The following is a 17819-nucleotide window of genomic DNA, read 5'->3' as shown; positions in this document are numbered from 1 at the left end:
GGCGTGAGCCACCGCGTCCGGCCCTCTCATTTCTTCTTAGTTGCATGATAGAAGAATTAGAAAATAAGAGGGTAATGCAGAAGGAAAAAGTATCGTGTAATATGGCATAGCTAATACTCTAACAGGGCTTTAATTTTGGTTCTAATTCTTCATCTGATGATGTCCTTGGACAAGACATGGACCTTCTGAGACCGCTCCCTCAGGGACTGGTAAAGTGTATTGATTACCTCATGTGTAGAATCCCCAACTTTTTCAATTTCATTATTCTTTAAAATCACAGTAGGTTCAAAACTTTTTTTTTTTTGGAGACAGGGTATGGCTCTGTCACCTAGGCTGGAGTGCAGTGGCATGATCACAGCTCACTGCAGCCTCTACCTCCCTGGCTCAAGGGATCCTCCCACCTCAGCACCTCAGTCTTCTGAGTAGCTGAGACTACAGGTGCGTGCCACCACACCAAGCTAATTTTTGTATTTTTTTGTCAAGAAAGGGTTTCATCATGGTGCCCAGGCTGGTCTTGAACTCCTGGGCTCAAACAATTCACCTGCCTTGACGTCCCAAAGTGTTGGGAATATAGGTGTGAGCCTCCAATCCCAGCCAGTTTATGAATTTTTTTTTTTTAAGGATCCATGTTGACTTTGAAAAAAAAGTGTGGAGTAGAGAAAAACAAAAAAGCAGACGGTGCAAGCTAGTGATGAACGAACCACATATGGCCTACGGATATTTAGATTTCCTGGCATTTTTATGTTTAACAAAATCAGTTGGCAATATATAACCATCAGTAAAATTGTATGTAAAATCTAGATTTCAACCTCTGTTGAAAACTGGGATATCTGGCAATAATGAGCCGCATTCCCACATGGAAATCCAACAGGCTAGGACAGAACGGGCAACTGCTTCCTGTTGACAGACACAAGATCTGCATTTCCACGGAGGCCTCACCCAGCTTGCTTCTCTCACGGATCTCAATTTTCTGGCATATCCAGGCATTTGTGGACTTTGTTGTTTTTTGTTTTTTTTTTGGTTTATTTTTTGTTTTTTTTTGAGACAGTCTTGCTCTTTCACCCAGGCTGAAGTGTGGTGGTGCGATCTCGGCTCACTGCAACCTCTGCCTCCCAGGTTCAAGCGATTCTCCAGCCTCAGCTTCCCTCGAGAGTAGCTGGGACTACAGGTATGCACCACCAAACCCAGCTAATTTTTGTATTTTGTATTTTTAGTAGAGACGGGGTTTCACCAACTCACAGAGTCTACCAACTTCCATCTGGGTTCCCCTTCCTGAACTGCATCCTGAAATCTCTCTCCAGATAGTTACCTGGGACAATTCTAGGACTCACCTGTTTGTCCCTTATCACTCAGGCACCACTGTCCTTCATTGCCTGATGTCTGAAGTCTTAAACAGTTGTTTTATTTAGTTGGTTATTTTTGGTTGTTTTAGGTGGGAGGTTAAGTCCTGTCCCTGTCCCTCTATTTTAGCTCGAGGTATAAATCCTCTCATTTTCTTGACATTTTCAGAATACTCTTACTTTCATGTTGTTCATATTTCAAAATGCCCAAAAGTATAAAGAGGGAAAAATCTCCATCCTCCCCTATCTCCCAGCTTCTCAGTTCTATTTCTCACAGGCAGCCTATATTATAATACTATTTCTTCCAGTGATATTTGTGTATTTAAAAAATAGACACACTCGAGACCAGCCTGACCAACGTGGAGAAACCCCATCTCTACTAAAAATACAAAATTAGCCAGGCATGGTGGCGCATGCCTGTAATCTCAGCTACTTGGGAGACTGAGGCAGGGGAATTGCTTGAACCCAGGAGGCAGAGGTTGCGATAAGCCAAGATCATGCCACTGCACTCTAGCCTGGGCAACAAGAGCAAAACTCAAAACTCAAAAAAAAAAAAAAAGACACAAATGCATATATATTCTCCTGTCCTCTCCCCTTTTGTATAAGTATCACCTAAAGGTATTAGAATTCCATTAATAGGTAAATCAATTGGCCTTTAACACTTACTCATCTGTCTTCCTTCTGTGTTTTACGTACCCTAAAACTGGCTTGAATAGCCTCTTCTCATCCTATTACTGCAAGAACATCACATGTATTATAGTATTAACTGGGGTCAAGAGGCCCATAGACATTTTTCCCCGCTACTGTCCTGAGTACCCACCAAGTCTATTCTACATGCTCGAAATAACCGTTATCAACACGGGAAGTACCATGTGTGTTGCAGGTGCATTAACCCAACCTAACAGCTTTGAAACACAGTACGTGTTCTGTATAGACAGTCTCACTTGATAGCCATAAGACCTCTAAGACAGGATTTTCCTCTGCTTCTAAGTTAAATATTTTGCTTAAGAAGACAGTATATACGTGATAAATCCTGAACTAGAACTCAAGTCTTTTCTGATTCTTAAGCGTGAGCTTTTAAACCTCCGCTATGTGGCCTCCATCAATGAGCAGACTGTCATCAATAGGCCCAGGTTTGAACTGCCGCCATGGCCCTCCACAGTAGGCACCCCCAACATCCACTCACATCAGGTATACCAGGACCGTGTCTGGGCTGCACAGGGCTTCACACAAAAGGGGCACGCCTGTGTCTAACTGGTTGCAGGATACATTCAGATACGTCAGCTTCTTGTTGTTGGTTAGAAGGCCAGCAAGGACTTCACAATCAATGGGTGAGAGGTGACAATTTACCAGCCTGCAGGAAAGGGAAAATGTCACATTCTGTTGGTTTCTAGTTCCTGGACTCATTCCTCTTGCCAATCCTGTCAGAGTCGGGAAGCCCACATTTGCTGTCCTTGAGAGGCTCACTGCCTCCCAACCCTGTTCTTGATCCCTGTCAACCCAGTCTCTGGGGTACAGAGACAGCCAACCTGAGATGCACAGTCTCAGTTATATGCATGCTTGGCTTACGGTCTCTGGGGTACAGAGACAGCCAACCTGAGATGCACCATCTCAGTTATACGTATGCTTGGCTTACGGTCTCTGGGGTACAGAGACAGCCAACCTGAGACACACAGTCTCAGTTATATGCATGCTTGGCTTACAGTCTCTAGGGTACAGAGACAGCCAACCTGAGACACAGTCTCAGTTACATGCACACTTGGCTTACGGTCTCTGGGGTACAGAGACAGCCAACCTGAGACGCACCATCTGTTATATGCATGCTTGACTTATGGCCTCCGGGGTACAGAGACAGCCAACCTGATATGCACTGTCTCAGTTATATGCATGCTTGGCTTATGGTCTCTGGGGTACAGAGACAGCCAACCTGAGATGCACCGTCTCAGTTATATGCATGCTTGGCTTATGGTCTCTGGGGTACAGAGACAGCCAACCTGAGATGCACCGTCTCAGTTATATGCATGCTTGGCTTACGGTCTCTGGGGTACAGAGACAGCCAACCTGAGACGCACAGTGTCAGTTATATGCATGCTTGGCTTAGCCTCCCCCAGTAACTTATCTCACTGCACTTGGAGAAAATCCCAAAATATACAACATGATCCACAAGGGTCCTACCCATTCCCAAGTCCCCATGTCCCAGCCACCCTGGTTCTTTTTCAGTTGCTTGACAACACAGGTTTCATTCTCTAAGATATTATTCATGTTTGATCCTCCCCAAACTCGTGTCTAGTGGCTCCTTTACTCAACTTGGGCTATTTTGCATGTGTGCCCGCCAAGTGGAATGCTCTTTTTCTGGCCTGTGGTTAGATGCATCTTTATCATTCAGGTCTCTGCTCAAGTAATATCTCCTCAAAGAACATGGAAGAAGCCTTGAACCCGAGTCCCCTAGGACTCCTTTTTTGGTGGCTTGAGTTGATTTGTGTTGCCTCACAACTGTGTGGTTTAACTGTGTGGTTTTCTATTACCTCAACCACTCTCCTTACCTCTGGTTGCCACAAAAAATAAGCTCAGAGACAACAGAATAAAGATGAAAGCCATTATGGGAGTTGTCCAGAAATAAATGTGGAATTGGCAAGTCACCGAGTCCATGGCTCCTCACGCCTCTGCAGCAGGGCTCTGAGGCCATGCATGCTTTTAATGTTCTTTCTAGATTTAAGATATAGGTTGGTGCGGCCGGGCGTGGTGGCTCAAGCCTGTAATTCCAGCACTTTGGGAGGCCAAGGAGGGCGGAACATGAGGTCAAGAGATCAAGGCCATCCTGACCAGCATGGTGAAACCCCATCTCTACTAAAAATACAAAAATTAGCTGGGCATGGTGGTGGGCACCTGTAGTCCCAGCTACTCAGGAGGCTGAGGCAGAAGAATCACTTGAACCCAGGAGGCGGAGGTTTTAGTGAACTGAGATTGTACCACTGCACTCCAGCCTGGGTGACAGAGTGAGACTCATCTCAAATTTGGGGGAAAAAAAAAGAAAAGAAAACAAAGAAGTTAATCTTAATGAATTTGGGTTAGGCAATGGTTTCGTAGCAATTGCACCAAAAGCACATGAGACAAAAGAAAAAAATAAAGTGCATCTCATCAGATTAGAAGCTTTTGTGCTTCAAAGGACACCATTAAGAAAGTGAAACGACAACTCACAGAATGGCAAAAAATATTCACAAAGTACGTCTCGTATATAACTTGTAATCAGAAAACATAAAGAACACTTACAACTTGACAAAAAGGCAAAAAATCCAATTAAAAATGTGCAAAGGTGTTGCCAACAACCATATGAAGAAATGCTCATTAATCATTAGAAAAATGCATATCAAAACTGCAATGAGATACCATCTCACACAGGTCAGAATGGCTATTATTAAAAAAAGTCAAGAAATAATATATGCTGGTGAGGTTGCAGAGAAAAGTGTACACTTACACATTTTTGTAGGAATGTAAATTAGTTCAGCCATTATGGAAAGCAGTTTGGCAATTTCTGAAAGAACTTCAAACACAACTACCATCAAACCCAGCAATCCCATTATTGGGTATATACCCAAAGGAATATAAATCATTGTACTATAAAGACACCTGCACTTGTATGCTCATCACAGCACTATTCACCTAAATACCCATCAACAGTGGGCTAGATAAAGAAAATGTGATACATATACACCATGGAATACTATGCAGCCATAAAAAAGAGTAAGATGATGTCCTTTGTAGCAACATGGATGGAGCTGGAGGCCATTATCCTTAGCAAACTAACACAGGAACATAAATCCAAATATCACATGTTCTCACTTATAAGTGGACGCTAAACACTGAGTACATATAGACATGAAGAAAAGGACAACAGACACCAGGGCCTACTTGAGAGCAGAGGGTGGGAAGAAGGTGGGGAAGAAAAATCTACCTATCAGGTACTATGCTTATTAACGGGTGACGAAATAATTTGTACACCAAACTTCCATGACGTGCCATTTACTTTTATAATAAACCTGTACCCCTGAATGTAAAATAAAAGTTTTTTAAAATGTTGTTTAAATGTTAAAATTTTTAAATGTTTAAAAACCTGTACCCCTGAATGTAAAATAAAAGTTTTTAAAAATGTGTGAAGGACTTGAATATATATTTCTCCAAAGAAGATATAGAAATGATCAAAAAGCACAGGAAAAGATGCTCATCATTAGTCATTCAGGAAAAGCAAATCAAAACCACAATGAGATGCTCCTTCACATCTACTAGGATGGGTATAATAAAAAATAAGTAAATATAAGTAATAATAAAATATAAGTAAATAAGTAAAAAATAAGCAAAGATGTGGAGAAATTAGAACTCTCATACATTGCTGGTAGGAATACAGAATTGTGCAGTCACTGAGGAAAATAACTTGGTGGTTTCTCTAACAGTTAAATATGGATTTACTATATGACCTAGCAAGTCTACTCCTGGTTACAAGTCCAAAAGGATTGAAAGCAGGTGTTCACACATGAGTGTTCATAGAGCACTATTCAGAATAGCTAAAAGGTGGTAACAACCCAAGTGTTCATCACTAGAGGACTAGAAGAACAAAATGGGGAATATCTACACAGTGGAATACTATTTAGCCAAGAAAAGGAATGAAGTACTGATACATGGTACAATTTGGATAAACCTTGAAAACATTTTGCTAAGTGAAAGTAAGCCATTCGCAAAAGACCACATGTGATTCAACTTACATGAGACGCCTGGGATAGGAAAATCCAATAGGACTGAAAGTATGTTAGTAATTCCCAGGGACCAGAGAGATAAGGGAGTGAGGAGTGAATGCTAATGGGTATGGGGTTTCTTTCTGAGGTAATGAGAACATTCTAAAATCAGTCATGATGGTTGTACTTCCTCATGAATATATATGAGGATCACTAAACTGTACATTTTAAAGCATAGTTATACTTTAAAAGTATTTCTTAAAATATATGAAGTACATACTTTAAAAGTATATGTTTTGTGGTATGTGGATATCACAATAAAGTTGTTATTTTTTAAAAAAGGGTTTGGGTCTTTTTGTGTTCGGTTGATGCAAGCTCAGAAAAATGGCCAACAAAGACTAGTATAGAGAAGTATTTGAATGTGTGGGTACCAATGAAGGTAAGTAGAGGGTAAGTATTTACAGGAAACCCTTATTTAATTGCAAAAATAAAAATGCTTGAATTAAAACATACATACTGGAAAGTACACACAATGGTTAAGTGCCAGCCAACGCACTGTCATGAATTTAAGGCACTTGAGTTACCAGTATCCAGGTCAAGAAACAGAGCAGGTTCATCATTCTCCTGTACCCCTCTCCTTCACTATCTTAACAAAAGTAACCGCTGTCTGATATGGTTCGGCTGTGTCCCCACCCAACCCTCACGTCGAACTGTAATCCCAGTGTTGGAGGAGGGGCCTGGGGGGTGACGGAATCATGGGGGTGGTTTCTAGTGATTTACCACCATCCCCTAGAGCTGTTCCTGTGACAGAGTCCTCACGCGACCTGGTTGCTTGGAACTGTGTAGCGCCTCCCTCTTCTCTCTTCTTCCTGCTCCCCCATGTAAGACGTGCCTGCTTTCCCTTTGCCTTCTGCCACCATTGTAAGTTTCCTGAGGCCTCCCCAGAAGCAGAAGCCTGTACATCCTTCAGAACCATAAGCCAATTACACCTCTTTTATTTATAAATTCCCAGTCTCAGGTATGTCTTTATAGCAGCGCGAGAACGTGTGAATACACTGCCCGAACCTCCAACACCAGAGCCTTGTCCATCTTTGAACTTCACAGGAATAAAGCCATAGGATGTACTCTTGAGTCTGGCTCATTGCCATCAACAATGTCTGAGATTTGTCCAGGTTTTTGCATACGACCGAGAGTGTTCTTTCTCATGGAACAGGAGCATGTAACCACAGGTTTCTTATCCAACTTACTGTCAGTGGTATTTCCACTTCTCAGAGATTATGAACACCTGCTGGGAATGCTTTAGTGCCTGTCTTTCAGCAAACTGAGACAGGTCCCTCTGTCGAATGTGCACCTCCAGGTGGAATTATTGGGTTACATAATCTGCCAGAATCCATGAAGGCTGAATACACACAGTTTTCCGAAATGGCTACATCAATTGGGAAACTTTAACTTCCCTATCCAAGTTCTCAGGAAACTAAGTTTGCATACAAATCATAGAAGGAAAAAGTGGATGTCTTCAAATATGCAGCCCCCTCCCCCAACACAAAAAGAAATACATAGTCTTCTCTGAAACCCAATCAGTGGTCTCAATAAACAGAGACTTACGCTATAGTCTTCTCTGAAACCCAATCAGTGGTCTCAATAAACGGAGACTTACGCTATAGTCTTCTCTGAAACCCAATCAGTGGTCTCAATAAACAGAGACTTACGCTATAGTCTTCTCTGAAACCCAATCAGTGGTCTCAATAAACAGAGACTTACGCTATAGTCTTCTCTGAAACCCAATCAGTGGTCTCAATAAACAGAGACTTACGCTATAGTCTTCTCTGAAACCCAATCAGTGGTCTCAATAACGGAGACTTACGCTATAGTCTTCTCTGAAACCCAATCAGTGGTCTCAATAAACGGAGACTTACGCTATAGTCTTCTCTGAAACCCAATCAGTGGTCTCAATAAACGGAGACTTACGCTATAGTCTTCTCTGAAACCCAATCAGTGGTCTCAATAAACGGAGACTTACGCTATAGTCTTCTCTGAAACCCAATCAGTGGTCTCAATAAACGGAGACTTATGCTATAGTTTTCTCTGAAACCTAATCAGTGGTCTCAATAAACGGAGACTTAGGCTATAGTCTTCTCTGAAACCCAATCAGTGGTCTCAATAAACGGAGACTTACGCTAGCTCTTTGACGTTGCCTGCTGGGTAGTTCAAGGCATCACAGAGGGACCTGATGTCATCACGAGAGAGTTTCGTGAGGGTGAAGCTCAGGTATTTCAAGTCTGGCTGATAAAAGAGCACCTCAAAGAGCAGAACACTCTGGCCAGAAAAGGAAACGTTATTTATTCTGCAAAAACAAAGAAAATTTTGGATGAGTTTCATCTAATGGGAGCACAGCCTGCACACCTGTGTTTGTCTCTCATCATCCATCATGAACTCATTCTCTGATTTCACAGCCCAATGACACAGCTCAGTAGTTCTCAACTTGAGAGATTTTGCCCCCACAAGGGACAGCTGGCAGTGTCTGGACACTATTTTGGTTATCTGGACAAGGGGATGCTATTAGGATCTAGAGGGTAGAGACCAGGGATGCATCTTAACACCCTACAACGCACAGAACAACCCCTATGATGAAGAATGATCTGCATGAGATGTCTGTAAGTGCTGAGGTTGAGCAACTGCTCTGGATGTTAATTCTTTGCTTGTGCAGTTAGCCTCGACTGAAAGCTAGAGGTGAGATGAATAGGTCATCTCCGTGACATACTCGAGTCGAAGTCGATTCTCAACTCACCCAAGCTTCTGAAGGCGACAGCTGGGATGCCTCAGCTGGTTACACCAGGTCACAAAGGTCGACTCGCTGAGGGTGCTGTCCTGCACCTGGAGCTCTCTGAGGTGCCCGCTGGTGGTGAGCACAGAGCAGATGTGATGCCAACAGATGAGGCTGTAATCCGACCTGTGGTCAAGAAAGGACGAGCTTTCCACAGGCAGGCGGTCAACACGAGCCACTTGTAACACATATACGCACTACGCTGTCTTCTCAAACAGAAGATGTCTGAGGCAGAGCCTCCCTCAGTCAGAAGGAACGGGACCCTTCAGGTAAGTCACCTTATGTTAGTGGTTCTCAACCTGGGGTGACGTTTCCCCCCAGGGGACATTTGGGGATGTCTAGAGGCCTTTTTGGATGTTAGAGCTTAAGGGAGGGGTGCTTCTGGCATCTAGTGAGTACAGACCAGGGATGTTTCTGAACATCCTACAATGCACAGGAGAGCCCCCCACTGTAACAGGAGAGCCAGCCCCCAAAACATCACCAGTGCCAAGGCTGAGAAACCCTGTCTCACATCCAAAATAGGTTTATTTTTTGAGATGGAGTTTCACTCTTGTTGCCCAGGCTGGAGTGCAATGGCACAATCTTGGCTCACTGCAACCTCTACCTCCCAGGTTCAAGCGATTCTCCTGCCTCAGCCTCCTGAGTAGCTGGGATAATAGGTGCGTGCCACCATGCCTGGCTAATTTTTGTATTTTTAGTAGAGACGGGGTTTCGCCATGTTGGTCAGGCTGGTTTACAGTAAAAGATGAGGCAGCACAGCCCAGCCATTAAGTCGACATCTTCAGCCTAGGCTCAGCCCTAAAACTCTCCATGTCCTAAATACAGGATCCTTGACTGGATAGGATCCAGCTCACTTGACTTCTTTGCCCCAGTTTCCTCACCTGTAACAGGATAATAGGATCCACCTCATATGATTCTTTTGGTTTTTGAGATGGGGTCTTGCTCTATTGCCCAGGCTGGGTTATACAGTGGCACGATCATGGCTCACCGCAGTCTCTTACTTCTGGGCTCAAGCAAGCAATCCTCCTGCTTCAGCCTCCCTCAAGTAGCTGTGCTACAGGCACATGCCACCACACCTGGCTAATTAAAAAAAAAATTTTGTAGAAGTGGGGTCCTGCTATTTTTCCCAGGCTGGTCTTAGCCCCCTGGCTTCAAGCATCCTCCTGCTCAGCTTCTCAAAGTGTTGGGGTTATAGGCATGAGCTGTAAGTTAAAATGTATATGATTTGGCCGGGCACGGTGGCTCACGCCTGTAATCCCAGCACTTTGAGAGGCCGAGGTGGGCAGATCACGAGGTCAGGAGATCGAGACCATCCTGGCCAACACGGTGAAACCCTGTCTCTACTAAAAACACAAAAAATTAGCTGGGTGTGGTGGCGGGCCCCTCTAGTCCCAGCTATTCGGGAGGCCGAGGCAGGAGAATGGCGTGAACCTGGGAGGCGGAGCTTGCAGTGAGCCAAGATCTCGCCACTGCACTCCAGCCTGGGTGACAAAGCAAAACTCCATTTCAGAAAAAAAAAAAAAAAGAACAAGAAGAAAATTTGTATGATTTGTGTTTTGTTTTTTTTTTTTTTTTTTTTTTTTTTGGAGATGAGAGTCTCACTGTCACCCAGCCTGGAGGGCAGTGGTGCGATCTCAGCTCACTGCAACCTCTGCCTCCCGGGCTCAAGTGATTCTCCGGCCTCAGCCTCCCAAGTAGCTGGGATTACAGGTGTGCGCTACACACCCGGCTAATTTTTGTATTTTTAGTGGAGACGAGGTGTCACCATGTTGGTCAGGCTAGTCTCGAACTCCTGACCTTAAGTGATCCACCTGCCTCAGCCTCCCACAGTGGTAGGGTTACAGGCATGAGCCACCACACCCGGGCTGTATGATTTTTTAGACTAAGTTTTCAAAGGTAACTTGCAGCTGAGAGGTCAAGACACAGGGAGTGTGGTGCTATGGAAAAATATCGATTATAGTACTGATCAGCTAATACTTGAGAAAGTAGGAAACACTCTTCACACAGGTCCTCATATTCACTCCTCACAATACAATTATTATTCCCCCTTCTGTAATGGGGCCACTGCAGCCACAAAAGGGCAAGGCTCACAGACAAAGTCTAAGAGCTCCTAAAATGTTGGGCCAGGATGTGAGCTGAGGTTTTGTGGCAGAAAAAATGAGTTTCTAACCATGATCCTATATTAAACACTCCCTCAGCAAAACCCACTTGGGAATACAGACAGATTCTGAGAAGAGAGAAAAAGTCATAGGATGGACTCACGTAGAGCTGTGTTCATCCTCTTTCTTAAAGACATTTTGAACGGAAAAACAGAGTTTCCTCAAGCTGGAGCAGTATTTTAAGCAGTAGGCAGAAACCACCAAGTCCACGTTGTCAATAATATGAAAGTTAGCTTCTTGGAGGAGGTTCACTGCCTGCTTCACAAAGGCAGGATCCTGCATTTCAAAGAGACAGTAAAATATCGCCAAGGAATCCACCTGTCCCTGAGGATTGCCACGCTCCCCTAAGCTCTTCAGGCACTGGTGAATTTGCTGCTTTATCTCTTGGGACAGTTGGAAGCCAAAAAACGCATCCAGTTTTTCTTGTTCCTTTTTATTTAAAAGGCCAGTTAGAAAACACCCCAAAAAAATCCAATGTGCTCTCCTTGCTTTTTCAAAATTGGCAACTAGCAATTCCTGTACACATCTCACAGCTGGGTGAGGATGATCAAGGTGGCTCTTGAGCAAATAGAACAAGGCGGCACAGAACTCCTGGATACACACGTGGAGGAACACGTAGGAGCTCTCACGCTCCCCGTACTTCAGAAGTATCTTGGTGCCCAGCAGCGCAGGGATGTCAGCGTCAACAACCCCATTTCTCCGGAGGTCGTCTTCACAAAACTCAAATGTGTCTGTCCACATACCCTCTGCAGCCAGGGAGCACAGGGCCTTCAGCTGGTGCTGGGTTTGCGGAGTCGGGCCCTCGGCACCCTCAGGTGTGAACAGGTTAAAGACGAAAGAGGAGTACACAGAGGTAGTGCTCTGGCAGGTCAGGGCCAGGTCTTTTCCTTTCTGCATCTCTTGCTTCAGACTGGTACACAGGATCCAGCAGAGGAGCGGGATTTGGCATATGGAAAACAGCTGTTCACTTTCTCTTACAAGATTGAAGGCTTCCATGGCTCTTTTCGGGTCTTTGAAGAAACAGCAGAAATACACTAACCTATCACTCTCGTTGAATCCCCGGGGCTGGTAGATTTCTGAGATCGTCACCTGATCCCGGAGCTCCTTCGGGCACACGGGTTTGATAGCGATGAGCAGGGAGGCCTCCGGGAGCATCTTCTTCCTCAGCAAACTGCTCAGAAGCACCTGCACCGGCCGTTTCTCCATCAAGTCACCACACAGATCCGAATCGGGTTCGTTCAAGCCGCCCTGCAGCTCTTCGAAGCTGTCGATGACGAACAAGAGTCTCTCCGGTTGAGACACGATCTCTGTTATAGGAGCAGCGGGGTCAGGCCACTCTCTGGAAATCAAGTCAGCCAAACTCGTTGGCGGCAACTCCCTCAGTTCTCTGCAGCAGAAATAGAACGTGTACAGGAACCTATCCCGAAAGATCTTGTTGTCCGACCAGGCCATCATCAGCTTCATCAGGAGTGTCGTTTTTCCAATTCCTTGTGGTCCTTGAATGATCACTGTACGTGGCTGTTTCCCAGCTTCCTTGGGAGCAAAAAGGCGGTCCAAATGGTCACATTCTTCTTGCTTGACTTCCTCCTCAAAGTATAGGTGAATCTCAGTGACAGACTTGCTGGACCATAAGCGGCTGAATTTCTGCTTTGCGTGAGCTTGATAGGTCTTTGTGTATCCTGAGTCAGTGAGGGCAAGAGGAGAGAAAACCCACAAAGTTAAGCATTCCTGCATATATTCTTTTTTTCTTCTCAGGATGTATCTTTCCAGGGGTCTACACACTGTGGCCCCCAGGCCAAACCTGGTCAGTCTCCTCTTGTAAATAAAGTTTCATTAGAACTCACTACACCATTCACGGGTATATTGTCTACAGGAGCCTTCCTGATTGAATAGCAGAGCTGAACAGCTATGAGAGACCGTATGACTCACAAAGCCTAAAATGGAAACCATATGGTCCTCTACACAAAAAGGTTGACAACTTCTGCTTTCAATAGACACACACACACACACACACACACACACACACATTCATTGCTACTACGTAAAGTTTGACAACTTCTGCTTTCAATAGACACACACACACACATATACATTCATTGCTACTATGTAAAGTTTGACAACTTCTGCTTTCAATAGACACATACACAGGTATTCATTGCTACGATGATAGCAAAATAAATGGAAAATAGCTATATGACTATCAAGACCAGTTAAATAATTTATGAGACACAAGCTATTATACAAATATTAAAAGTATGGAATAATCTCTTCATATGGATAAGCAACAGGACGGTGTCTATAGCATGTACTCAATTTGCATAAACAAGGGATTTATATACACATATAGGTTTCACATATAGGGACTAGATCTGAAAGTCCACCTAAAAAGGACCTGACCTAGGCAGTTGCCTCCAGAAGAGAGAGGAGATGCAGTAGAGAGGATAGAATGGCACCTCGCATCCATTCCAACTTTATGCCAGTGAGCTTTCTTTCAATGGCAGAATTCTCAAAAGAAAAGCCAATCAAAAAATCCAACAACAGGCCGGGGCAGTGGTTCATGCCTGTAATCCCAGAACTTTGGGAGGCCAAGGTGGGCAGATCATGAAGTCAAGAGATCAAGACCATCCTGGCCAACATGGTGAAACCCTGTCTCTACTAAAAATACAAAAATTAGCCGGGCGTGGTGGTGTGTGCCTGTAGTCCCAGCTACTTGGGAGGCTGAGGCAGGAGAATCGCTTGAACCCGGGAGGCAGAGGTTGCAGTGAGCTGAGATGGCACTGCTGTACTCTAACGTGGGCAACAGAAGGAGGCTCCGTCTCAAAAAAAAAAAAAAAAAAAAAAGATCCAGCAACAGTGATGACCAAGCCCTACGCATCCCACAACCCCTCGTAGCTAAGATCAAGGTACAGATTAAGTTCTGCGATTGGCCCTCACTCTCATGACACTGGAAGGGGAAGGGGAGTGGAGTCTATCTTCTGCCTGTTTTGCTGCCAGCTTCCATGAACACACAGACGCTGGACTCTTCTGTAACAGAAGGCTTGTCTCCAGTTGCTGTAGTTGGCTGGGCGCAGTGGCTCACGCCTATAATCCCAGCACTTTGGGAGGCTGAGGCAGGCAGATCACTTCAGGCTAGGAGATCGAGACCAGCCTGGTCAACATGGTGAAACCCCATCTCTACTAAAAATACAAAAATTAGCTGGGCGTGGTGGTACAGGCCTATAATCCCAGCTACTCGGGAGGCCAGGGCAGAAGAATCGCTTGAACCTGGGAGGTGGAGGTTGCAGTGAGCAGAGATTGCACCACTGTAATCTAGCCCTGGCAATAGAGCGAGACTGTCTCGAAAACTAAAACCAGTTGCTGTGGTCATTGATTTTAAGCAGCTGCTACACTGGTGAGCTTCCCGATTTCTGAATCATAGCTGTCGTGGTGTATTTCTAAAGCCACAGTTCTAACAGTGAGCTTCCCATCTCCCACTTTCCTCTTTGCAGGAGAGGCAGCAGCTCCCTGATACTATAGTTCTTACAGTCATCTCTGGAGCACCAGCCTAGAGGCTGATCCTTCAGCCAGGCCGAAAACTCCTTTACAGTTATCTGTTCCTTAAATAACTAGTACGATGTTTATATTCTGCAAGTGAGTAGCTGCTGATGGACTGGAGATGTAGGGGGCAGTTGTAGATGGGAAATTTTCCCTATGCCCCGCATAATAGTTACTGGATTTGATTGGATGCAGGTGAAAGATATAATCCAGTGCCCACAGACTGCTGACAGTAGGTAATGCTACCTTAAGTTTTTGGGGAGAACAAGGGATTCCCCCAATCTTTCAGTCCCCTGAAGTCCCTAACTGGTGAAAATGCCATCTGACATTGGTGAAGATCCTATTAGCATCTTAAGCTAAGTTGTTTGCCCATTCCCCAATGGCTTCCTGCTTTCCTGGTCTTCTCAGCTGTTCTGGAGATTTCGGTGACATGTTTGGTTGCTCATAAGGGGAATTAAGTGGGTACAACCTCAAACCAACTGTGAAAAGAGAGAAGTGTAAGTACCCAGTGGAAGATCTAACTTTAGACCTGCTTACATTTTATTTTAGCAATATTCTAAAATGGTTCCATGTGCAAAGAATGTTCTTCTTTATATAAATTACTTTTTTGAGACAGGGTCTCACTCTGTTACCCAGGCTGGAGTGCAGTGGCACAAACACAGCTCACTGCAGCCTCATCCTCCTGGGCTGAAGTGATCCTCCTGCCTCAGCTTCCAGGGTAGCTGAGACCTCAGCGTGTGACACCAAAACACTCCAGGAAACATGGGGGAATTTGTTTAAAAATTTGGACTGGGTGGCCAGGTGTGGTGGTTCACACCTGTAATCCTAGCCCTTTGGGAAGCCAAGGCGGGCGGATCACCGGAGGTCAGCAGTTCAACACCAGCCTGGCCAACATGGCAAAATCCCGTCTCTACTAAAAATATAAAAACTAGCTGGGCGTGGTGGTGAGCGCCTTATAATCCCAGCTACTCCGGAGGCTGAGGCAGGAGAACCGCATGAACCTGGGGGGTTCAGTGAGGTTGCAGTGAGCCAAAATCATGCTACTTTACTCCAGCCTGGGTGAAAGAGTGAAACTCCGTCTCAAAGAAAAAAAAATTGGACTGGGAGGGGTTTTTTCCAAGTGATGTTCCAAATCAAGAAAATGAGCAAGAAAGGCTAGCATCGCCAAAAATGGAAACTCTCAAATTATTTTATTTCAAACCAATTATTTTAATCCTCAATATTAAGGAAATTTCCCTGTAACTACTACCAGAATCAATTCCAATTTCACTGGAACAAGATATTACAGATTCTTAACATTTTCAATGTCTCATATTCAAAATCTGGCACTCAAAATTACCGGACATACTAGGAGACTGTATGACCAGATAAAGAGAAAAAGAAACAGTAGAAACAGACCTATAAATGTTAAAATCTTCAGGCAAATTTTAAAATAATTTAAAATGCTCAATAAAATAGAAGATGGAATAAATATTGAGAAAAAATGGAAGTCTGTGAAAAAGGCAAACTGCATAAATAAAACATGTGAACTAAATTTAAGAAATCAAGGCCAGGCATGGTGGCTCATGCCTGTAATCCCAATACTTAGAGAGGCTGAGGTGTGCAGATCACCTGAGGTCAGGAGTTCGAGACCAGCCTGGCCAACATGGGGAAACCCTGTTTCTACTAAAAATACAAAAAAATTAGCCGGGTGTGGTGGCGGGCATCTGAAATCCCAGCTGCTCAGGAGGCTGAGGCAGGAGAATCACTTGAACCCAGGAGGTGGAAGCTGCAGTGGGCCGAGATTGCACCACTGCACTCCAGCCTGGGCGACAGAGCGTGACTCTGTATCAAAGAAGAAAGAAAGAAGGAAAGAGAGAAATAGAGAGAAAGACAGAAAGAGAGAGAGAAAGAGAAAGAGAAAGAAAGAGAAAGAGAGAGAGAGAGAGAAAGAGATAGCAAGAGAGAAAGAGAGAGGAAGAGAGAGAAAGACAGAACGAGAGAGAGAAAGAGACAGCAAGAAAGAAAGAGAAAGAGAGAGAGAGAGAAAGAGAGACAGAAAGAGAGAGAGAGAGAGAAAGAGAAAGAGAAAGAAAAAGGAAAAGAGAAAGAGAAAGAAAGAGTGAGTCTAGGCCAGTATGGTGGCTCAGGCCTGTAATCCCAGCACTTTGGGAGGCCAAGGCAGGAGGATCACTTGAGCCCAGGAGTTTGAGACCAGCCTGGGCAATATAGTGAGAGCTCATCTCTACAATTTTTTTTTAAAAGGTTAGCCAGGTGTGCAATTAGCCAAGCGTGGTGGCACACACCTGTAGTCCCAGCTACTTGGGAGGCTGAGGTGGCAGATCATTTAGCCCAGGAAGTTGAGGCTGCAGTGAGCCGTGATGATGCCACGGCACTCCACCCTGGGTGACAGAGCCAGACCCTGTGTCAAACAAACAAGAAAGTCCAGTAGGTGTAACTGGAGTCCCAGAAGAATAAACAGAAGAATGGAATACACAGACAATGGCTAAAATTGAGAACTGAAGAAAGTTACTGAACCTCAGATGCAAGAATATTAAAGAATCCCAATCAGGATGAAAACAAAGCCACATCCAGGCACATCACAGTAAGACACTGAACAACAACAAAGAAAAACAATTTGGCAGTAAAGTTGAAAGAGCTATATCCTGCCATTGATAACGCAAATGTGCAAAGTAACAGTTAACACCTTATGCCAGGATAAATACAAATGTGACTCTAAAAGCCATATTGCTTATAGATCATTGCTTGTCTGATGTGAACTTTGGCTAAATACATGATTACACCAGTCAACCTCAGTTCACTGTATCCTCTACCGCAGGTGTTAATTGCTCTTGCAAATAAGTCAGGTGCATAGTTCTTATGCAACGACTTCACCTCACAGAGTTTCTGGCTTGACTGCAAGTTCTCAGCTTAGGGTAAAAATCATTGGTGACCCAGATAAAGGTACAATACAGGTTAGGACATAATAGCCACTGACATTTTACCCACATGTAACCACCACGTCTAAGAGACCATTTCCTGCCTACAAGGACAATATTTTCAGGCTGGGCATGGTGGATCATGCCTATAATCCCAGCACTTTGGGAGGCCAAGATGGGTGGATCACCTGAGGTTGGGAGTTCAAGACCAGCCTGGCCAACATGGTGAAACCCCATCTCTACTAAAAATACAAAAATTAGCCAGGCATGGTGGCAGGCGCCTGTAATTCCAGCTACTCAGGAGGCTGAGGCAGGAG

At 44.5% G+C, this 17819-nt stretch overlaps 1 protein-coding gene across 3 annotated transcripts in view; it reads right to left on the bottom strand.

Moving 5' to 3' along the window:
* The window catches only part of NLRP4 (NLR family pyrin domain containing 4), a 45316-nt gene that overhangs the window by 11453 nt on the left and 16044 nt on the right, over window positions 1–17819 (bottom strand). For 2 of the 3 annotated variants that reach the window (NM_134444.5, XM_017026345.1), the window contains 4 exons: window positions 11154–12729; window positions 8856–9017; window positions 8244–8411; window positions 2527–2694 (listed from right to left, as the gene is read on the bottom strand). In NM_134444.5, the coding sequence (NP_604393.2) occupies window positions 2527–2694; window positions 8244–8411; window positions 8856–9017; window positions 11154–12729 (2074 nt within the window). The remainder of the gene's footprint in view (window positions 1–2526; window positions 2695–8243; window positions 8412–8855; window positions 9018–11153; window positions 12730–17819) is intronic. The other variant, XM_017026344.1, reaches the window with a different exon arrangement.

The sequence above is a fragment of the Homo sapiens genome, chromosome 19, assembly GCF_000001405.40.
Source record: "Homo sapiens chromosome 19, GRCh38.p14 Primary Assembly".
Taxonomy (NCBI): domain Eukaryota; kingdom Metazoa; phylum Chordata; class Mammalia; order Primates; family Hominidae; genus Homo; species Homo sapiens.
Note: the sequence above shows the minus strand (reverse complement) of the source record. Positions and strands in the feature narration are given on the sequence as shown.